General features: G+C 47.1%; 1 long non-coding RNA gene across 1 annotated transcript, besides 3 other annotated features; it reads left to right on the top strand.

The window, feature by feature from the left end:
* Positions 501-590: an enhancer, noted in NCBI's record as "active region_1558". NCBI's record gives its function as "activates an Ori minimal core promoter by ATAC-STARR-seq in GM12878 lymphoblastoid cells {active_cell/tissue: GM12878}" and the evidence as "EXISTENCE:reporter gene assay evidence [ECO:0000049][PMID:35858748]".
* On the top strand, positions 523-7,015 carry LOC124904384 (uncharacterized). The gene is made up of 2 exons (XR_007066496.1): positions 523-747; positions 5,064-7,015. It is a non-coding gene; the product is annotated as an uncharacterized LOC124904384 (long non-coding RNA).
* Positions 791-900: a silencer, noted in NCBI's record as "silent region_1228". NCBI's record gives its function as "represses an Ori minimal core promoter by ATAC-STARR-seq in GM12878 lymphoblastoid cells {active_cell/tissue: GM12878}" and the evidence as "EXISTENCE:reporter gene assay evidence [ECO:0000049][PMID:35858748]".
* Positions 16,857-17,276: a silencer, noted in NCBI's record as "silent region_1227". NCBI's record gives its function as "represses an Ori minimal core promoter by ATAC-STARR-seq in GM12878 lymphoblastoid cells {active_cell/tissue: GM12878}" and the evidence as "EXISTENCE:reporter gene assay evidence [ECO:0000049][PMID:35858748]".

Here is a 23,878-nt window from a genome sequence, read left to right as displayed (position 1 = left end):
TAGAACATATTGCAATGCAGACGTGGAGCTAGAGAGGGCAGATGGGTGCCTGAGGCTGGGCTAGGGATGAGGTAGGGAAACGAGGGTGAGGAGAAAACTGGGAATGCTGGGTCCCCAAGGGAAGGAATCAAGAGGGGCGGTGTGTAAGGAAGCGTTCCCTGGGAGACAGGAAAACACTGCAAAGTCAGATCCAGGTTCAAATGTGAGCCTTTCTTATTGCTGGCAGTGTGACTGTGAGCAAGTGACTTAACCTCTTGAAATTGTAGTCTTCTGATCCGTAAAACGGGGCTAATACTAGCTAATATACGGGGTGACTCTGGGGATTAAGTGAGGAGACATATACAAAGCGTTTGGTAGAGGGTTGGTGGAGTAGTGGAGGGGGGACGGTGCAGTGCCCCGCTGGCTCCTGTACTCAGCAGTAGGTTAAGCAAGGTTTCATTTGCCGTCTATCTAGGCTGTGTTTATTACTTCCTTTCCCTCACCTCAATTTCTCAGTCTGTGCTCTTTTGCCTGGGGCCAACTGTGGCCGCAGTGACAGCCACCTGCATTAATTATGAGAGAATGCATCTTTTCTGAAATCTTCAAATCCCAAACCAGAGACAGAGGCTAGAGTACAATAATATTTCATTCTAGCTGGGACAGTCGGCCTCAACCACAGCTCCAGGAAGGAAATAGTGAAACCAATGCCGCCATTCAGTTGAAAGCGAGGAGAAAATACTAGTGCGTGGAAGACAATTCACCGTGCGGGTAGGGGCCCTCGGGCCTGCGCGGCTGCGATCGGGGCTGGCGCCACCGCGGACCCTCCGGGCGGCCGGCAGGAGGCGCTGCCGAACCTTCTCCGCATGCGCTTGGGGCGCAAGTGGGAGCCCTTCCCCCATCCCGGGCGTTGTTAAAACCCAGTGGGGCGCGGCAGCAGTTTTCCTCGACCCTTCCCGGTCCCCTGGCGGGGTGCTCCCGCCTCTTTGTTCTACTCCTCTGTGTCTTCATTTCTTCTCTTCCCACCCCATCCCCGCAGAAGGCTCGGCCCGCTGCTCCTGCGCGCCCTCTCCAGGTGCCCCAGCGCCCCCTCCCCAGGTGCCCCAGCGAGGGGCAGTGGGCCCCGACCCACCGCAGCACAGTGGGCGACCGGTAGCGCGGCCATTGTCGCCGCCTCCCCATCCTCCCTCCTTAGCTTCTCCTTTCCCTCCTCCTTGCCGCTTCATCTTGCCCCCTTTCTGCCCACCTTCTCTTCCTTCTTCTCTCCCCGCCCACTGTAGCCTCCCTCTTTCTGAACACGTCCCAGGAGAAGGCTGGTGCTGCGGACAGCGATCCCAGCACCCCTCTGGCCTTTTGCTTCCCTTGCTTCCCGGGGAGAAGGAGCAGGAAAGACATCTCAGCGGCGTGCCCTGGCTGACCCTGGCTCCCCAGCCTGCCTTGTGTGTCCTGGCTGGGAGACCCCGAGCCTACGCCCTTCGGGGCATTCCACAGCCCTGAGCACCGCCCTGCGCCGCACTGGGCTATCCAGGCTGGCCCCCACCCGCAGATAAACTCGGTGGTCCCCAGACACCACCTCTGAGAGCAGCACGTTGGGGCAAACCCGGACTGCAGACGCCTTTCCCTCTCCTGCTTGGCTCTAGTGCGGACACACTGCAGCGGGGCTCAGGGGTTCACCCGGCCCAGTGGGCTGCGGGGGTGGGGTGGACAGGAGCGCCCGGTGCACCCTGGGGTGAGACCGGGGCTCATACACGAAGGCTGCAAGGCAGGCCAGAGGCAGAACGAGTCTTATCTGAGTTCACGTCGCACTCTGGAAGCCTTTGACATTTTCAACTCGACGGGAATGGGCTTCGCTATAGGTCACATTGCTCTAGGAGAGGAAAGGAATCGTGATCTGAATTGTTGTAGAGAAAGTGTTTACTTAAAATCTTATTAAGGTTTATTTTTAGAGTCTAGGTCTTCTGGCCTTATCACAAGAGACCAATTCTAGAGGGGTCTCTCTGCTCTGCTGACCTTTAAGAAAAGACTTCAGAGATATTAAAGCAGGGAGAGGCAGGATGTGCTCACCTGCCTTGACAGGAAGGCAGCTCAGGGCTGCGTCCACCAGGCAGCCTGCATGTACTCTGTAATGCTAGGTCAGTGGGAATCCTTTCCTGGGATGGAAGGGCATTGTCCCTCCCTTCTTCCCCCATCCAGCAGACCCAGGTAAAAGGCTAGCTTGACCAGTGGGATAGTCTAATCGTAGCAAACAGTTATTGAGTGCTTACAAGCCAGATATTGTTCCAAGTGCTTTACACAGAGTAACTCAGTTCTCACCACAACCCTGTGAGGTACATACGGTTACTATTCCCATTTTGCAGTTTGAAAAACCGAGGCACGGAAAGCTTAAGTAATTTGTCCAAGGTCATAGAACTTTCTGATCATTTTCCTCATCATAAGAAAGTCCCCACCTGGAGGCACTCTGCCTCAGCCCTTCTGGCCAAAGAGCAGCATTAAGGGCCAGTCACACACTGGGGAGACCTGAGCAGGGGTTGCTGAGGATGGGGAGCCCGAGGCCTCAGGAGGAGTGCTGCTGCAGAGGGAGTGGCATTGCACCAGGCCTCTTAGAGCTGGTGCCAAGAGCTGCTTCTCCCTGCCAGGCTGCAGAAACATCTCCCAGATCTGCCTCTTTGAATGTGCCATTCCTCTCCTAAGAGCCCACCAGCAGCTTAGAATATTCTCCATTAAACCCCAAACATTCACAAGTTTTAATGGCCACCGTAGTCCCTAGTTCTCCCAGCTTTGCAGGGTAATGTGGAACCTATGAGTGAAATCCCCAGAAACCTAGAGGAGAGGCTCTCAGCATGCCAGAGAGTGTTGCTGCTTTCAACTGGGAACCAATCTAAGGCAGAATGACTAGACAGGGAGGGCCCTCAACCACCAGCTGTGCCTGCCTAGGCTGGAGGGAGAGGCTTGGGTCAGAAGGAGATGGTGATGTGGGTTGCAGAAACTCGTGGATCCAAGCCTGCCATAGCTCCAGGGACTTCTGGGCACTGACCTTTCATTGGCTCAAAAACTGCCTCCAAACCGAATAGTTGCTAGCTCCCTACAAATGTGGCCAGGGGCACGTCAGCAAGGCTTGGGGTGGTGCAAGAGAGGTGAACAGAAACCAATGGGAGGCGAGGGAAAGCAGACAGGAGCTGCACCCTGCAGGAACAAAGGCAGGCCAACAGAGCACCAAACTGCCGGTCTCTGCAAGGCAGGGCCCAGGTTACATTGGAACATGCCAGGGATCCTGAGGCAGCAAAAGGGGAAATTTCTAAGGCAGCTGTAAGCCACAACGGGGTGGAGAACCACTAGGAGGGTGTATCCATATGCACACACATGGCTACACAGCTACATACCCCAACCTACCCTCTTTCACATGAGCTTTGACATGTCGTATGCTCATATTATTATATACCCATATCTAGACGTGAGTCCCCTCCCACACACACATGCTAGTGGACAAAAGTGAAGACACAACATGACAACACAGTGAGGTTCGCCGTGGGGAGACGCTCATTTGTCCGTTTACACCCACACACAGGCTCATGCCCAGAGATGCACAGTAACAGACTCCAGCACGTTTGGACTGAGTGTTCCTGGAGAGGTCCCCATGGACCATTGCTGGCCATGCCCAGAGAGCTGGCCCGGAACCAGGGGTGTTCTGCAGCTGGTCACCCATAGCTTAGCCGCACAAATCAAAGCTGGTTCTGGGAAGCTCTGAGAATCCCAGCAGTCACTCTGGAAGTGCTGGGCTTCCCATAGGGATTTCAGACACCCAAACCATGGGATTATCCAAGAAGCTCTGGAAACGTCCCAAGGGGAAAGGATTCTTTGTCCCCTTTGCATGGCCTGGAGCTTCCACAAGGGCTCATCTCACACAGCTGGGTGGCTGGGCAGATCCACAGTGCTCCTTGTCTCCACAGTGTCCCCACCTCTGGATGCCAAGTCCCATGGTGCCCACAGTTTGTTCTGTTCCTAGAACCACATAGAAAAAGCACCAGACCTGAAGGCTGAATAGCCAGGATTAGAAGCACAAATTATGGAACCAGACTGCCTGGGTTTAAATCTGTACCCTGCCACTTACTAGCTGTGTGACCCTGGGCAAATTACTTAACTGGGCCTCAGGTTCCTCAATTGTAAAATGAAAACAATAATATACCTAACTCCTAGGACTAAGTAAGAATTAAATGAGGAAATTGTCCTCAGAGGAAGTGGGTGAAAAAGTGAGGGGCCTGAGGCCCAGGGGCTGGAGGCAGAGTAAGTGATGATGGCTGGGACAGGGGAAGTGGGGAACAGGAAAATGATCTGGAAATGACCACAGGCCTGTGTCTCTGTGCTGTCAACTTTGATATTCTGGAGGGACGATAAATAAGAGCATAATTCCTGTAACCATATTTCCTCACAGAGCACAGTGTACTTGGCCAGAAAGCCACAGCAGGCAGGAACATTTTCTCATTATTATATAATAATATGAAAGATAATGTCCTCCTCCTCAAAGAAGCCCAGAGCACTTAGAGATTGCATATTCAGTGCCCAACTCACAGGGGCCCCAGGCTGGGTGGCTGAGGCTGCCAGCTATCTGCGCCAGGCTGCTTTGCAGTGGAGAAGGCAGAACCTGAGCCAAGGGTGTGACGGGAGCTGCCACACTCAGTGAAGTGCTGCATCCTCAGTCCACACAGATCTGCCTCTTTGAATGTGCCATTCCTCTCCTAAGAGCCCACCAGCAGCTTAGAATATTCTCCATTAAACCCCGAACATTCACAAGTTTTAATGGCCACCGTAGTCCCTAGTTCTCCCAGCTTTGCAGGGTAATGTGGAACCTATGAGTGAAATCCCCAGAAACCTAGAGGAGAGGCTCTCAGCATGCCAGAGAGTGATGCTGCTTTCACTTTCCTCACAGCCCCCACCCTGGGGGCCACCGCCAACTCAGAAGCCTTGGGGGGGCTTCACAGAAGGAGGGCAGCTGTCTCTGCTCACTGCACTGTCAACAGGAGAAATGGGGAGGGGGGTTTCACAGACCTGTCTGTTCCAAACCGCTGCTTACTCTCCTGCCTCTTTTGCAGGCTCTGTCTGTGTCTGAGGCAGTCCCTGGAGCTGAGGCAAAGCAACCAGAGGGAGAACCCACAGGAAAGAGCAGGAAGTGATTCCTCTTCTGTCCTACACAAGCCCTCACTGCATTATGGACTCTGTTTCCAGGGTGACTTCTGCTCTGGGATTGGACTTCATGTTCAGGGAGAGATATTTTTTCCTTCATGTGAAGAAGCAGAGACCCACTTAAGGACTGCATGGGCCCTAAGTCATTTCAGAGAGTTGATGACTTGATAGGGTCATTGAGGAAAAAAAAAGAAAAATGCTGCCCAGGATGAAGTATGAGACTAGTGACAAGACAACGTGATACTTTTCTCCACTGTTAAGCCATGTTTGATATTTTCCTTTTAGGAGAAAGAAAGAAGCATGTGGCTCCTGAGTTAAGGAGTCCTTCATGCCCTTATGCTGGAGCTCCTGCCTTCTTGAGCTTTCAGATGCAAATGTCTTCTCTAAGGCTGACTCCTAAGCAGCTTCAGCAGAAGAGCAGATGGGCCATTACTACCTCCTGAACATGGTGGCAGCTGGCACCAGGGAACTCCATAGTCAGAACACTTTTTGTCTGTATTCCTGCAAGCTCTAGGTCTGACACAGATGTCATAAGACAAGTAAGACCATCACATTCCTGGTGCCAATGGAGAGACAGGCACATAGTAGGTGCTCACAGCTTTTTAATACCTTCCTGTTGCTTATAGCATAGTAAGAGCACTGACAGCAACAGCCACCAGCATTTGCTGAGTACAGTTATGGGCTGGCACAGTTCTGTATGCATTGTACGTATTATTCATTTAATGTTCTCGGCATCTTTGTGAGGAAGACCCCTAGCCACATGTGACAGATAAGGAAATCGAGGCACAGAAAGGTTAAATACTTTGTGTTAGGCCACACAGCTACTAAGTGGTGGTGCCAGCATTTGAAAATGGGTGAAGTCCAAGCATCTGGTTGTGAGGTGCAAAGTCTTTTTCAGCAGCCTCTGCTTCCTCCCTGGCCTCCATTCTTGACATGCCCTATCGTGTGTTCCAGTAACAGCTCTGCACCTCTCTCCATCTCCCTCCACTGTCTTTTTCACCTCACCATCCTCCCTCAGCTTCACTGCACCCTTCTCCTGCCTAATACCTACTTCTCTTTCCAGATTCATTTGACCTGCCACCTCCTCTTGGAAGACCTCCCTGATGTGCATGCCCTAAGTCCCCAAGGCTGAATTAGGTGCCCCTCTTTTGTGCTTCCATGGCAACATTTGTATAACCCAATCATTGCACACATTGCATGTGTTATTCCAGGGCATTTATTTTCTCCCACACATGACTATGGTTTCCTAAGGACCACAATGATGTCTTATCCATCACACTGTCACCAGTATGTGGTAGTTAGTTTGGCACTTGGTCATTGTTTGTTGACTTGGGAACTTTTTCTATAAGGAACCAGAGAATATTTTAGACTTTGCAGACCACATGCAAACTCTTCTTCTCCTTCTCCTCCTCCTACTCTTCCAACCCTTTAAAAATGTTTTTTTTTTTTAAAAAAAAAAAAAGCAACAACAACAGCAACAACAAAAACCAGTCTTAGCTTGAGAGTCATATAAAACCAGCTCTGGATCAAATTCTGCTTGCAGTTAGTAGTTTGCTGACTCTGCTGTCATTGGGTAAGATGTTTCTAAACAAAACAATTCCTAGTCAAACTAACTCAGTGATTCTCAAACTGAGGGGTATGGAGATGGGTGTATGTTTTTTGTCATCACAATGGATGGGGTGGAGGCTAGCAATGCTTACTGCCCAGGAACCAAGGATGCTGTGCCCCAAGGAAGCACAAGTAGCAGTGTGCAGCGGAGTCCCCCAAAACTGCCACAGGAACTCACTGAAGAGAATGGGCTGGCTGTTTGCTGGTTTTCTTGTGCTACTTTCTGGTAACAATAAACTGCTTTGGGAACTCACTGAAAGAAAATACATTAGAGAACCAATTCCTTCACAGATCCAGTTGTTTAGGCAGCAAGGATAAAAAGAAATGAGGATTCATCCTTGGGCTTTCAAGGCAAGGACCCTCTTAGGTTCTTACCTGAGTCCCTGGCACAGTGCCAAACACACAGAGGCCTCCATGTCCCTGAATCTTGCCCACCAGTGCTGCTGAGGACTGGCAGAAAAGTGGAGTGCCATAAGACCTGCTGTAGCTTATTGTGTGTTCTGAGGTCTCAGTAGGGTTGCCTCAGTAGGGTTGCCAGAAGGGGAGGAACTGGAAGATAGCCTGAGGGCTTGGAACTGAAATAGAGATCCCTTAAAATGGATCAAAATCAGTCTTGGGTAGGCCAGAGCCATCTGGAAGTCCTGTCCCATGCTGAATGTTGAAAGGCACAAAGCTGCATGTCTGCAGGCTTCATTGAAAATGCAGGACAAAACAGCAGGAATGGTGCAATGGAAAGGCTTGGTTAGCATTGTCTTCATTCATTTGGCCCACTATAACAAAATAGTATTGACTGGGTAGTTTATAAACAATAGAAATTTATTGCTCACAGTTCTGGAGGCTGGGAAGTTCAAGATCAAGACACCAGCAGGTTCAGTGTGTGGTGAAGGCCCTCACAGATGGTGCCTGGTTACTGTGTCCTCACATGGTGGAAGGGGCACAACAGATTCACTTCTTTTATAAGGAAGCAATCCCATTTATAAGGGTGGGGGGCCCCATGACGTCATCACTTCCCACCTCTGAATACTATTATGTTGGGTGTTCAGTCCCAACATGTTAATTGGCGGGGAGACACCAACATTCAGATCACAGCAGCATGCTATGCAATAACTCAGAGCAACCCTGCAGAATAGACCACTTGACTATCTTTTTCTCATTTAGTTCAACCCCATTATACATTGGGAGCTTATTCACACATGAGTACTTCAAGAACTTTGGTGAAACTTTATATACTTTCATCATAAAAACTAATCAAACATTCATCTAAACCCTTACTCAAGTGCTTGTAGCCACTTTATATGTAGGAAAACAGAAAAATATACCCATAGGTAGAAAAGGGTTCAATAGTACTTTGGAATATCTTTAACTATAGTTCCTAAACCAAAGTGACCTTAGTTAGAGCTGGACATAGAAGACTGAGTTTGAGGCTACTTCTAGCCTTTATTAGCCTTGAGGTTAGAGTGCATTAGCATGATCTTAGTTCACTGCAACCTTTGCCTCCCAGGCTCAAGCAATCCTCCCACCTCAGGCCCCTGAGTAGTTGGGACTACAGGTGCACACCACCACGCCTGGATAATTTTTTGTATTTTTGGTAAGTACAGGGTTTCACCATGTTGCCCAGGCTGGTCCCGAGCTCCAGAACTCAAGCAACCCACCCACCTCAGGCTTCTAAAGTGCTGGGATTACAGGTGTAAGCCACCGCACCTGGCCTGTGGATGAGTTCTTTACTCTTTTGAAGCCTTTATTTCTCCATTTGTAAAACCAAGGTGATTGACCCCTTTCCAGCTTTTTTCTGGGGGTGATTTTGGTCCAAAAGAGATGAGGAAGGTTAAAGTCACTTATGAGCTATAAAGCACCATAAAAATATAAAATCCCTTAGGAAGTCTTGTTTTTGCATAAATCACAATCTGTTTCTTCACAAAACTTCCTTCTGCTTTAGAATTATTCCTCTTTAGAACAGATTAGTTACTTGCATGAGAAAACAGGTCATATATCGACCTTTCATTTTGGGGCCAGACACTAAGGTACCAAGATTAGTTCTGATTTCATAGCATTGTTTGGAAGTTCCATGGTAAGATTTCATAAAGCATTAGGTTAATTTATTCTGTTGTTGATTTATTCATGCAGGCCATATCTATATCAAGGGATCTACATTTGCCCAGTTGCAGCTAACACTCTTAAATTGCTATCTTTCCTGTGTCACGCCAACCCCATGAGGTAGATATTATTATTTCTGTTTTCCAGATTTAAAAAAAAAAAAAAACAACTGAGACTTTGAGAGTTCAAGTAATTTGTCCAAGAAAATTTCATGAGAAAGTAACCGTTAAAAAATCTTCTTTTCTATAAAGTTAAATCTAGTTCTAGTGTTCTATAAATTAAATCTTTCCTAGAAGACCTAAAAAGTATTTTTTCTTGTTAAGTCACCAACATATACACAAATCATTCTTCAGTAAAAATCAAATTATGTAAGTGCAAAAAAATAACAAAAATGTAAGTTTCAAAAATTTCAGAAGCATTGCTTTTAGTCAGTTCTTCTCAGGTGCTGAAAGCAAATCCTGCAAGTCGAATTTTGAAGAAAAATGGGAAGAAGGTAAAATATGACCAAAATCATCAGGAAGGATGAAAAAGACTTGGTTACAAGGACTTCTGGCTTGTCAATTCTTACTTTCCCTAGAATTCTTTCTTGTTGGTTGATCTGTCATGTGTCTCAAAGGGATGGGAGCTAATTTTACCTCTTATTTCCCACTCTGTTCCCTTGTGCAATGAGCCAGTGCCGTCAGAGATTAAGCAAATACCTCCTCTTCCTCTCCTTGCCACTCCACTCTCCTTTGGCCTCAATGACCCCAATATTCCTCTTGTTTCTGGAGGCCAGAGAGGCCAAAGGAAAATTCTAAAGCTAATTTTATTTACTTTCACAAAGTGGCAGCATGCTCCAGGTTTTGCCAATGAGCTGCTTTATTATCTTGCATCCTTGATTCTTAGCTCTGTTCCTGACAAGGCAGAAGGACAAACTCTATCTCTGAAATTGCAGGATGTGTGGGAAGTAGAATGCTCTTTCAATATTAGCTTTATTTTTGTCCCCCTTTCCCAACGTCACCTCTGCTGGTCCAGAAAGCAGTGAAAAATATCTGTTTCTCTAAAGGCTTTTGGGAAAGCTCAGTCTAGTGAGACTGATTAATTCACTCCAAAGATGTGTGTAATTGAGCAGGCCAAGTGTGCCAAGCAGCAGCAGGCTTGCCTGGGCACTGGGAGGGAAAGGTGCCCAAAGGGCAAGAGCTACTGCCACTTTCAGACAAAGCTCTCACTAACTAGAAAAGGCCCTCCCCTAAAACCTTCATTATGGAAATACTACCTATTCTAAAGTCCTACCTCACACCCTTGACCTTGAGCACCTCTGCTGGAAGAGACCCCTCTTACAGAGCTGCTCTGCACCATGAACCACACGACAGCATGTTTCACCCACCACCATACACCCCACTTGTTTATATGGATATCTTGATTTCCCTCCTGGACTTCCAACTACTCAAAGGCTGGAACTAAAACTCATGCAGCCTTACACCCTAAACAGCACTTAGCCTAGGGGTTTGCACACAGAACGTGCTCAATAAATTATTTAGTTTGTAAAATAATGGCTTCATTAGATTTCTGCAACTTTCCTAGGTTTAACGGTTTTAAAAGCACATGTGGGGAAATCATAAAACACTTTGAGACAAAACACTATTATTAAATAATTTTTTGATCATAGTGGAAGTCTTGAGGGAAACTAGAAAATATTTTAAACTGATTGTAAATGAAAATATAACATATTAAAATTTATGGTATGTATCTAAAGCAGTTCTTAGAGGGAAATTTATAGGAATAGATGCTTATATTAGGAAAAAAGAAAGGTGTTTAATCAATCATTTTAGCTTCCATCTTACAAGACTAGATCAAATTCAATTCAGAGCAAATTCAAAGTAAACAAAAGGAAAGACATAACAAAATAAGTATATATATCAATGAAATTAAAAATAGAAAAACAATAGAGAAAATCAATAAAACCAAAAATGGTTCTTTGAAAAGATTAATAAAATTGGTAAACATCTAGTTTAAAAAGAAGATACAAATTACCAGTATCAGAAATGAAAGGAGTATTACTACAGACCCTACAGACATTTAAAACAAATAATAATAACAGAGTATTACAAAAAATTATACACATACAAATCCTGCAAGTTAGATAAAAATGCACCAAGTTCTTGAAAATTTCAATCTACCAGAATCTAGCCATCATGAAATAGATAATATAAATAGTTTTATAATTATTAAAGACATTGAATTCATAGTTGAAAATCCTTTGAAAAAGAAATCTCTAAGTTCAGATGGTCTCACTGATGAATTCTGGCAAATGTTTCAACAAGAAATAACAGCAATCTTCCCAGAAAAAAGAAAGGAATATTTCTCAGCTTATTTTATGAAACCAGCATTACCCTCACACCAGACAAACACAGTACAAGAAAAGAAAACTTTAAAACAATATCCCTCAAGGGAAATAGAAAGTTGCTATTCAAAGCGTATAAAGTTTTAGTTATACAGGGTGAATAAATTCTAGAGCTCTAGTATACAACATTGTGCCTGTAGTTAATAATACTGTATTATATACTTAAAATTTGTTAAGAGGGTAGGTTTCATATTGAATGTTGTTAACACACACACACACAGCAAACTGAATCCAGCAATATAAAACATATACAACAATAATATATAAAATAATAATACACCATGAATAAATGTTATTCAGTGAATGAATGGGGCAACAAAACTCTTCTCTGTTTTTATTGTGGTGATGGTTATGCAAATCTATACATGTATTATGTTTCATAAAACTGTTCACATACAAACCAGTTTTACTATATGTTAATTTTTAATATAAAGTTCAAAAAAATTATGTTTTTGTATGTGTCATCTCTGTGATGACAGTAACTAGCATTTGTACTACACTTTCAATACAATGTACTTTCAAATACATTTCACATAGTTCACTGAACCACAACCATATGAAGTGTATTATTGATCCCATTTTTACAGATGGGAAAACTGCCTTAGAGAATTGAGATGGCTTCATATGTACTAATGAGCAGAGCCATGCCACAGGACCAGGCCCTCAGTGGAAGGCCCCTGCCAGCAGAAGTTCCCACTGACTCTCCCCTGACTCTGCCCTTAAGCCCCCAGATGGTGACAGAGTGGAATTCTGTGTCCCCCGAATAGAAGGTGAGCCCACGAGCAATTTCACCCAAGGACAGCAGCTCCAGGCCTCACTGGAGAAAGTTTCCAGTGGGAGCAGGAACTCACAGCTCTGCAGCTCCAGCTCCAGTTAACCTTCACAAAATCAAGAGTTCAGTTCACCCACAGCAGAGAAGTCTTCGCCACTCCTTCGATAACTGCTCTCCAGATGCTTCTTTTCCTTTTGTGATTATCTCTCTTACCATGAGTGTGAGCTATTCTACCATGTTTGAAGTAAGTGGTGAAAGGTGGGAGTGGAGGGGCAAGGGGACTCTCAGGCAAGAATGAAAGTTGCCAGAGTATTCCATTCTATTCTCTCCAATTCTCCGCAACTTCATTAAAACATTTGTCTGATATCAGCACCATAGGAAAGGTTAAAAAAATGTTTATCTCAGAGACCCCCTACTCCTCTGAATCCCACCAACTAAAACAAAAATCATGTATGTGTTAAGGAAGGAAGAGAAACCAAGAAACTGGGAAACATACCCACTGGGGTTCTGGTTAATTGAGCTGGTCAGGAGGGGTTAGGGGTGATATTCTAGGAATACTCGAGTGAGGAATGTGCTGATGAAAGATTGCTTATATTTGAGTAACTCCCCCTTCTTTAGTTCAGTGAACACTCATCAAATATCCAGTGGGTTATCTGTCCAAGAAACTGTGTATATGCTGTCTTTGTCAAAGAAGCAGATTTTAAAGGCCAAGAGCCATTTTCAAGGGACTTAATTTTAAAACGGAATAACAGCTCAAGATGCTGCAAGGAACTTTTGCCAAAACTCTAGAGCCCATCCGGACACTTTGGACAAGCAAGGGGCAAATTTATTTCCTAGCGGTCACCAGCATAGTCCTTACCCTATTGAAAGCACATCATGTTGGAGTGATAATGTGTTTCAAGAGGCTTAATTCTGGATGAAACATCTGGAGGCTAAGTCATTTGCTACCACTCTAACCCCATGGGAATCTGTCTGACATAGGGAATACAGAGATGAGTGAATTCTAGAAAGCACAGAAGATGTGAAGTTGGGTCTGAGACAGTATTGGAATAGGGCAGTGGGCTAAGGGAGACCTTTGCAGGATCTTTGCAATCTGTGTTTGGTGAGTAGAAGGTATGGGTAAGCCACATTTCACACACTGGCACTAGCAAATCATAGCCAAGGGCAAGAGATGACTTCATCTTATGCCATATTTTCTGGGAGCAGGAGGCAATAGAGGATGCTTTTTAGGGAAGGCAATTGTATGGCTCCTGTGCTTGAAGCAACAAATTCTAATGGTTGGAAGGAGCGCAATTCTGGGAGTACATTTTTTAGGGGAGAGTAAGAAAGGGCACAGTTGCTTCTCAGGTAGCGTGAGGTTGAGAGCCCAGGATTCTTTCTTCCTTAAGAATCCAGAACAAGAGATTTAAAAATAATATTTTTAAATATTCCTATATCCAAAGATTTCTGCTTTTGGAGGCAGATAGCCTACTTTCGTGTCCTCCAAACAAAGCCAGTATAAGAACTTAGGATACTCCTGAATTAATTTTATGATTTTGGGGTGCTGAATTTGTCATTTAGTTTTCCAAGTCTGTGAGGCAGGTTTTATGATCCCCATTTTACAGATGAGGACATTAAGGCTCAGAGAGATTCAGGAACTTGTCAAAACCTCCCAACCATTATGTGGCAGGGCAGGGACTAAATCCCAGATCCATGCAGTGCCCTTCCCCTGCCCCATGTTGCCTCTCCTATCTCGAGTGAGGCTCTTACACAGAAAAACACCTCTAGGCACCTCTAGGGATTGCAAAGTTGACAACCTTTGACAAATGCAAAATGAGAATATCGTTTGTGTTTTAATTAGTAAGATATTAATAGGTGCTCCACTCCTGACCTGGAGTATTTGTTTAAATGTTTTTCAAATCCTTCTCTTTCTTTCTTGCTTCCCTCCCTCCATCCCTTCCTTCTTTCCTTTCTTCTTCCCTTCCTTCCACAAATGCACTCTGAGGGGGTATTACACGGATGAGGTGATGTCAGGCACTGTGGAAGTCACAATGATAAATGAGACTCAGATTCTTCCCTCAGAGGGTGTTCAAGGTAGCATTTAATTGCAAAAAGGCATACTACAAGTAGACTGTAATAAAGGTCAACCACTCCAAGAGCGCCTCCATCGCCCTTACTAGGATCTACCCTTTGTTTGTTTGCTTCCTTTTGTTCTGTCACCCACCAACAGCAAGCTCCCTGTGAGTAGGAATGCATCCTTCCTATTCGCCATTGAATTCTCAGGGCCTGGAACAGAACCTGGCACATAGTTGGTGCTCAATAAATATTTGTTGGCTGAAAAAATAAATGAGAAATTGATCTTAAGTGGGATCTCCTGGGAAATTTCAAGGTAAAAGTATCATTTGAACTCGGCCTTAATGAAGAAGTAGAGTTTTCATAGGCAGGTATGGGAGCTGTGCATGTTCCAGAGAGAATGTGAAGAGTATGGAGACAGACGAGAAAAGCTGGCCTGTGTGTGAAGGACACTGAGTTTGGCTGAAGTGTAAGGAGTGGGTGCAGGAGGGAAGTTAGGTTAAGGCTATATCATGGAGGTCCCGAATGGCAATTGTTTGCTCAGCTGGCAAAAGAAAACCATTCAAGTTTCTGTAGCAGGGGAGAGGCTTGCCGGAGCTGTGGGTGAGTGCGATGATCTGGTAGTGACACTTTGTATGTGTCAGAGTGGGGAGAGAAAGGAAAAAGGAGGGGAGGTTGTTGGGCATGCTGGATGTGGTGGCAAGAGCCCATGTGAGGGGGTCAAGGGCCTGAGCTGGACAGAAGCTGTGGGACTATGAAGAGGAGGGCTCTTCGCAGCCAGATATTCAGGTCTCGGGAACTCACTGAATGTGGAAGCTGTTGGATAGCGAGACATTAAAGACGATATTGATGTTCCCAGCTCAGATGCCTGAAGGAGAGAAAGGGAAGTCAGAGTTAGGCTGAGAGGAGGAGAAGAAAGGAGAGGTGATGTGTTTGGTTTGTGCATCTTGAGTTTGAGTGCCCAGTGGGATACCTAGTGAAAATGTCCAGCCAGTTGTCAGAATGTCAGAGGTAAGGGTGTGGCCCAACAAGGCCTTCTAATCACTGAGCCAAAAATAGTTAATGGAACAGAGCTGGGGAGCCTGTTAAGGCAACCTGCAGGATTACAGGCTGCAGAGCATTAGCCTTTGAAGAGAACTTGGAGCTTACTCCCCAGCCTCTGCACAGAAGGGGAATCTGAGGCCTAAAGAAGTTGGGTGGCTTGTCCAGTTTACATAGCCAATTTGACCTCCCAAATTATTATAGGAGGTCAATTAACTTTTAGGTGATTGAAATATTAAAATAGAAAAGCTCCACACTTGCATCTCTCTAAGAGCAAAGCTGTTTAGAGTACTGTACCAATGAAATTTCCAAAATCCATCTCTCAAAGGGCAAAGCTGGTTACAGTACTGTACCAATGAAATTTCCAGAATCCATCTCTCAAAGGGCAAAGCTGGTTAGAGTACTGTACCAATGCAATTTCCAAAGTCCATTTCTCAAAGGGCAAAGCTGGTTAGAGTACTGTACCAATGAAATTTCCAGAATCCTCTCTGTTGGTAAACTTAGCTGCCACCCAGATGACAGCAGGGGCCTAAGGAATCAGGTGCAGGGTGGGTGATGGCTTGGATTTTATTGATTTTTTGGTTTTGGTATGTTTTTGTCTCCTGGGGTCTCCTGTATATAGTACTCCATGAAGGCCACAGCTTTGGAAGATTAATTTGTTTTCAGTCTTCAATTTATAGCCTCTCACTGAGAAAATGTTTCTAAACTCCTGGGAGATGGAGGGCAAGAAGAAAACCAAGCCTTTTACTAGACCCTAAATTATTTTCTTCTTCACCTAAAGGATATGTGTCCAATTACAAACTACAAGACTTTAAAAAAAAAAAGCAAACAAAACCCCAACTACATAGCAAAGGTCATCTGGCCTGCAGAGTGAATGATTAACTTTTGTGAAAGTGATTTTTAGGATTTTTTAGAGCGTTCAAAGGTACAACTGGAAAATGTTAGCCCAGGGGCAATTGTAAGAACACCTTTCTCTACCATCTGTCACACTACGAGCTCCACCCATTCCACCATCAGGGAAGGACCTTGACCCACATCCATGTTGAGGAATGTCCTCTATGTCAAGGTCAGGGAACAGCACCCACAGAGGGTGCCTCTGGGTCCCTCTCTGCTCAACTCCCTCTCTCTTGGTTCCTGCGAGGCTCATAGGGTTGCAGGGCCCAGCAGAAGGACTGAGTCTTCCTCCTGGACTTCTGGTCCTGGTAGGCTGTGCCTTCATGTCTCTCCTGTCACCTGCACTGTAAGGAACTCATTATGACAAACGCATAAAGAATATGGCTCTGTCCACTCCAGCCCATGACCTTGGGCAAGTTCTTTTTTCTCTGTGAGCCTCCAAGTGTTCATTGGCAAAATGGGTTTATGCTGCCTACCTACTCCAAAGGAGTGCCGAGGGGATTAAATGAGATAAAGCACAAAGCCCCTAAAATATGTGCCAGGCACATAGGCAGTATCTGCAAATCTTGGTGTCCCATCCTTTCCTTTCCTGGAGCATTCTGACCCACCCACCCTCTTTATGACCTTCCTACCATGACGCCTGGCCTGGGGGTGATGGAGCGCTTAACTCCCTCCCCTCCCTTCCCTTCCCTTTCCTTTCCTTTCCCCGTGGGCATTAGTCTAAGGAAAAGGAGTCCATAAGAGCACAGCATCTTTCTTCTGTCTTCCACAGCCCCTCTAATCTTGCAGGGAAGGAGGCTGAGTGCCCTGCAGCAGCACAGATATGTCCGGATGAGCCAGTATCTATACTGGGGTAACTGTCCACCCCCCACCCCGATCCCCAGTGCTAGGCAATAAAAGAGGCCCACTGAAAAGAGGACCCAGGGAGCTGGGCGGAGCCTGTGGATCAGAGCCCCCTCGCTGGGCACTGGGTGGGCTGAGGGTTACCCCCAGGCTGCAGAGCGCGTGTGGGGGCCGCCGTCAGCTAGTCTTCCGCCTCCCGAGGGCCAGCGTGGGCGGAGGCGGCGGGGCTGCGGCTCTCGGGAACCGCAGTGTCCCAGTCTGCTCTCTGCCTTCAGCGGGAGGAATTTCCCCAGCCCTTCACGGCTCGGGGCCGCGAGGAGCCGCGGGCGCCCCCTGCCGCTTCCGAGCCGCGGCGCGCAAGGCGGCCTCCCCGTAGACCGTAGTCCCTGTGAGTCTTCCCCTCCAGCCTCAGCCCTGCGCGAGTCGGGGCGTCCGCTCCCCTCTCTCTTGCTCCTCGCTGCTCCTTCAAGAGCCCGCGTCCTGGTCACAGACAGCACAAGTCACATATGGCGGTCCCTGGACAGAGAGAGTCAATGGCAGGGAGCCTTCTTGATGCCCCTCACATCTCACTGTGGGGCAAAGAACATCCTGGAAAGAGGCAGGAGAGAGGAGGAGAGAAGGGCCAGGGCCTCCATGGAGGGGCTGTGACAGCAGGAGAGGATGGGAGCCCAGGCTCTGCTTCCTTTGTACCCCCGGCCACCAAAGGACCCAGACTGTGCCTGTCCCTACACCGGTGCAGCCTTCCTTGCTCACCCGGTCCCTCAGACCTAAACCACACTTTGGGGTACTCTGTGGTAAGCACCCCAGTGTGTTGAGTGCTCAACCTAATATCCCTCTATCCATCCTATAGAGGGAGGTTACATTTTGCATTAGAAGCAAGAATCCTGCTTAGGTGGTGAAGGTGGTTTTTTCATTTGCCGTAACATTCTCTCTCACAGAGAGCACTGCTCACTCCGGCCTTTGTATTCTGAGCATTCGTAGGTCGGTCCTCACAGGAGATTCATAGGTTACAAAGTCTGAGAACATAATATATATGCTCACGAAAGAAAGTTACATCGCCAAAAATAAAGCTGGTTGAATGAGAGGAAATGAATGGTCTAGACTCAGAGACAAAGAGAACCAAGACCAGTACTGTTTGTCTCCGTGCTTGGCAGGAAGGGAGGGTGAAAGCCTGAACTCTTTTCTGATGTGCTTTGTTTAAATGCAGTGTGTGTGTGTGTGTGTGTGTGTGTGTGTGTGTGTGTGTGTGTGTGTGTGTTGTTCAGTCTACATGTTGCACGTTGGAACCCAGTTAAGCTAGGCATGTCCAGCAAACACCTGCTACAAAGTATCCACCAGTGCCCACAGTTGTCAGTGGCTGCTGTGATGAGCTGCCAGGCTGGCCCCTCTGCAGCATGAGTGTGCATTCTCAAGCTCTGCTGCATCAAGCTGTGTTCTGCATAGTGAGGACAGCCAGGCCCTTCTGGGAAAACAGGCTTCTGGAGCCAGAGGCAATTTTTCTTTCTCTAAAACTAAAGATGTGGGATTCTTCAGACTCTCAAAATGTTACTTTGTAGAGGAAAGAGCCTGGCCTGAGAATTAGAAGACCCGGGTTCAAATCCAAGCCCTGCCACAAAGCAGATACATATTATGGAGCAAAATCATGTATTCATCCATTCCTTCATGCAATTATCTATTTAACAACTATTCATTGAGCTCTTACCCACTGAGCATTGTTCCAAGTGCCGGAGATATAATACAACAGTGAATAAGACAAGCCCTCTCCCGGCATAGAGTTTATATTTATTCTAATAGGAGAACCAGCAAACCACTATGGGGAGAGTGAAGTATGGTGCAGGGCAAGAGTGCTGGGGGCTAGCTGTGTTAGGCTGTTCGGGGAGGGTTGGGACATGTCAGCATGGAGCATGGGATTTCTGAGCAAAGGGGGAAACAGGTACTGAGGCCCTGGGCAGGATGGAGCTTGGGTGTCTGAAGCAAAGCAAGGAAGCCAGTGTGGTATGGTTGGAACAGTGTGAAGGAGCGTGGTAGTTGGCGAGGAAAGAGAGAATGGCCCAAGTCAGATCACATAATCCTTGTGGGCCTTGGTGGGGAGTTTCCCTTTTTTTTTCCTAAGAGATGAGAAGCTATTGGGAGGATGAGAGCAGGGAAAATAAGCATGATTGAGTTTGCAGGTTGCCCCCCTTGCTCTTGTGTGGGGAGGACTGGTGTGAGGTCGGGGGGCAAGAGTAGGTCTGCAGCAGTCTGGAAGAGAGAGGCATGACCTGGCCTGGGGTGGGCTGACCTGCAGGGTATGAGGCCTACCTGGACTACATGGAGAAAGGAGAGCCAAGGGATGTGCTGGTGGGTTGAATATGGTGGGTGGTGGCCTCAAGGCTAACTCTTGGGACTCTGGCTGAAGCATGTGGCTGAAGTGACACTGTTTACTGAGGCGATGGGAGCTTTGAGAGGGAAAATCAGGAGTTCAGCCTGGGACATAATGCATTTGCTTTGAGCAAATCATTTTCCCTCCTCTCTTTGGACCTCTGCCTTCGCATCTGTAAAATGAAGGGGTTGGCCCAGTTGATAACCAGCATCTCTTCTGTGGTGATTAGAGCTATTTTTTTTTCTAATTTCCTGTGTTCTTTCAAATCTACCAATATATTCTGAATTCAGAGAATAGAAATGATGGGACTGTTTTAATTCTCTTTGGGGGTGAGAAGAAGAGATGAAACAAGCCTGTGTGTCCCATGAGGGGTCCCACAGAGGCCGATGTCCTGACAACCATGAGGGAGAGAGCATGGGAGGAGGGCGAGGCGAGCCAGTCAGGGCAGAGGACACAGGCAGGGAAGGACGACCCAAAATGTGTGACTGGCAACAATTTGAGTTAAACTTCATTTCCAACACTTCCTAGGTTTGCATTTTAGAAGATTCAAGGGCATCTGAAAGGAAAACTATTTTAGACTTTCAATTACAAACTACCTCAGTTTGTGGCTTAGTGGAAAGAGAGCTGGCCTGGTAGTCATCACTAACTCTCTAAAGCCCAAGATAGTCATTCAGTCTGTATGGACCTCATCATATCTACTCTACATTTTTTTTTTAATTTTAAACACTTTTACTGTATCTTCAAGATAGAAAATTCTGTGATTCTATTGCCTTAAATAACTAATAAATGAAAAGTCCAAGAACTTGGAGATCTAAAATGATAGCTTTGAAGAAGTATTGCAAACATTTTTATTCAACACATATTAATTGTGTACTTACTAATGTGCCAGGCTGTGTCCTCAGCTCTAAAGATACAACCCTGAAAATGCAGATAAAGCCCCTTCTCGTGGAGCCTTCACTGTGGTGGGAGACAGATGGTAGCTGGAGAGCTGGAAGTCCAGGTGGTGCTGAGTGCTATGGAGAAGAATAAAGCAGGCGATGAGTAGAGCTTATCAAGACTGAGGTGGGGTGGGGATGGAGCCAGGGATACTATTTTACGTGGGAAACTTAGGGAAGGTCTCCAGAGGGAGGGAGCAGCAAGCACAAAAGTCTTGAGGTAGGGCCATGTTTGGGATATTCTGAGAAGAGTGAGAAAGCCTGTGTTTTTAGGGATGTGTGTGAGAAACCGGGAAAGGAGAAGATGGGTTTGGAGAGTTTGGGGCTCCAGGTCATCCCGGGCCTTGGGACTGTAGTATGAGTGAGGCAGGAAGTGACTGGAGGATTGCGAGCAGATGAGCAACATGACCTGAAAAACTGAAGGAAGACCCAAATTCCAAATGATACGTGGGGGCAAAAGAATCCCTGGGATATCAGACGCCATGTCAAGATGCATTAAGCTCTAAAGCAGTTGGGGATATTTGTTTCAGCAAATGCTTAAAACAAAATTGTTGGCCCTTGGTGTGCAGCTGGCTGGAAGTTTCATCTGTTTATCTGCTGAAGGGTTTTTGGCTGTCTGTTATGTGCTACACACTGGAAATTCAATGAGATAAAAGACATAATCTCTACCTGTTCTACAGACAAGTATGTTGAGGTCTTGCCAAATTTAGTGAGTTATTGGCTAGGAAGTGGCAGAGCTGGAATTCCAATCCTGGGTCGTTTGACTCTAGATGGGGCAACCAGCATTTGCAATCCTGCAGGATATCCAGATGAGGAAAAGCATTTCGAGAAATGAAGAGACTTGCCCAAGATCGCCACACTCTAAAGGGCAGAGCTGGATTTTAAAGGGATGCCTGTAGACTGTCTGTCCACGGTGCCATAAATTGAAATCCCTGGAAGGCAGCTTGGTGATAAAGATGCGTAGCAGAATGTTTAGTAGGGAGCGCCCTCAACAGCAACACCTGTGAAGGCAGGGAAAGGAAGCAGAGTTGAGCTGAGGAAATAGCTGAGCTGTGATGCAAGCCCAACACAGGCCTCAACCAATCCTGAAGAAGCTCTACAGCTAAGAACAGGCCTTCAGAGTTGTCCTGAGTTGGGGTGAGGGGCCTGGGCCTTTACACACCCACGTTAATCAGTCTTTGTGTCTGGCTGCCCCTAGAAGGGAAGTAATTTTGGCTGAGAGAGTTTTCTTCAGTGAGGTCATCCTCCAAGAAGAATGACACTGGGATCACACTGGGCAATAAGCCTTTCATTCCATCCGGAGGGACCTGAGTGGCACATCACAGAGTCTACACATTCTCTCCACCTCCTCACATAGACTCTCAGTGATGTCCCTGGCCTTTTTCAGGTTACAAAAATATCATAGACCCACTTGTTACATTTGACCTTTTAAAAAAATTTCTTTAAGGAGGTCTGCAGTGGGTGAAAAAAATTCTCTTTAGGCTATGTTTACCATCATATTTTATGTTTTATGTAAAAAAGACATTAAGAAATGGTTTTTAGTTTTCCTTTCATTTTATTCCCACTCCACATTTAGCCAGTCTATTTCCCTCCTTTCTGTCTTCACTCTTTGGAGATGGTGGGCAGTGGAGAAGGTTGTACTTAGGTATTCTAATAAAAGAGCTTCCTTTGTACAATTAGGGATAGAAAAGATAGAAATGTTGCCTTTAAAGCTACTGACAGCCTGTAGAGTATCAGCTTGAGGAATTTTCTTAACTACATGATTCTGTCCGAGCAAAGTGAGGGGTGCTCACCCTTGGGGGTCAGGTTGACCCTTGTTTTGTTGGAACTGCTTGTGAAGCATCAGGTGGTGGCATTTCATAGGAACCGCCTGCAGTGCACAGGAAGGCCGGACTGGAGCTCTACATGTGAGCATATTTGGAATGTGGATAGTACTGGAAACCACAGGAGTGGCTAAAATTGCTAGGCTGAGTGAGTAGAGTCTGAAAAGAAGAGAGCCCAGGACCAAGCCCTTAAGGGGAGGATGATAAGATTCAGGGGAGGGCAGAGAAGGAATCCAAAGAGACTCAGAAGGAGCTGAAGAAGCAGGGAGTGGTGTCACAGGTGAGAGGTGACAGCGTGCTGGCAGTCCTCAGAGCCCTCACTTGCTCTCGGCACCTCCTCTGCCTGGGCTCCCACTTTGGCGGCACTTGAGGAGCCCTTCAGCCCACTGCTGCACGGTGGGAGCCCCTTTCTGGGCTGGCCAAGGCCAGAGCCGGCTCCCTCAGCTTGCAGGGAGGTGTGGAGGGAGAGGCGTGAGCGGGAACCGGGGCTGCGTGCTGCACTTGCGGGCCAGCTGGAGTTCCGGGTGGGCGTGGGCTTGGCGGGCTCCGCACTCGGAGCAGCCAGCTGGCCCTGCCGGCCCCCAGCAGTGAGAGGCTTAGCACCCGGGCCAGTGGCTGCGGAGGGTGTACTGGGTCCCCCAGCAGTGCCGGCCCACTGGCGCTGTGCTCGATTTCTCACCGGGCCTTAGCTGCCTTACCGCGGGGCAGGGCTCAGGACCTGCAGCCCGCCATGCCTGAGCCTCCCACCCCCTCCATGGGTTCCTGTGCGGCCGGGAGCCTCCCCGACGAGTGCCGCCCCCTGCTCCATGGCGCCTAGTCCCATCGACCGCCCAAGGGCTAAGAAGTGCAAGCGCATGGCGCAGGACTGGCAGACTGCTCCACCTGCAGCCCCAGTGCGGGATCCACTGGGTGAAGCCAGCTGGGCTCCTGAGTCTGGTGGGGACGTGGACAGTCTTTATGTCTAGTTCAGGGATTGTAAACACACCAATCAGCACCCTGTGTCTAGCTCAGGGTTTGTGAGTTCACCAATCGACACTCTGTATCTAGCTGCTCTGGTGGGGCCTTGGAGAACCTTTATGTCTAGCTCAGGGATTGTAAATACACCAATTGGCACTCTGTATCTAGCTCAAGGTTTGTAAACACACCAATCAGCACCCTGTGTTTAGCTCAAGGTTTGTGAGTGCACCAATCAACACTCTGTATCTAGCTGCTTTGGTGGGGCCTTGGAGGACCTTTGTGTCCATACTCTGTATCTAAATAATCTGATGGGGACGTGGAGCACCTTTGTATCTAGCTCAGGGATTGTAAACGCACCAATCAGCACCTTGTCAAAACAGACCACTTGGCTCTACCAATCAGCAGGATGTGGGTGGGGCTAGATAAGAGAATAAAAGCAGGCTGCCTGAGCCAGCAGTGGCAACCCCCCAGGGTCCCCTTCCACACTGTGAAAGCTTTGTTCTTTCGCTCTTTGCAATAAATCTTGCTACTGCTCACTCTTTGGGTCCACACTGCTTTTATGAGCTGTAACACTCACCGCGAAGGTCTACAGCTTCACTCCTGAAGCCAGCGAGACCACAAGCCCACCGGGAGGAACAAACAACTCCAGACGCGCCGCCTTAAGAGCTGTAACACTCACTGTGAAGGTCTGCAGCTTCACTCCTGAGCCAGCGAGACCACGAACCCACCAGAAGGAAGAAACTCCAAACACATCTGAACATCAGAAGGAACAAACTGCAGAGGCACCACCTTAAGAGCTGTAACACTCACCGTGAGGGTCCGCAGCTTCATTCTTGAAGTCAGTGAGACCAAGAACCCACCAATTCCAGACACACAGGGACTGAGAAAACAGGGGTGCAAGGAGGAGGGGTTGACTGCTGAATGCTTCTGAGAAATTGTATAAAATGAGAAGCAAGAAGT

This window comes from Homo sapiens, chromosome 1, assembly GCF_000001405.40.
Source record: "Homo sapiens chromosome 1, GRCh38.p14 Primary Assembly".
NCBI classification, from domain to species: Eukaryota; Metazoa; Chordata; class Mammalia; order Primates; family Hominidae; genus Homo; species Homo sapiens.
The sequence above is the reverse complement of the archived record's forward strand: the minus strand, read 5'-3'. Positions and strand labels throughout refer to the sequence as shown.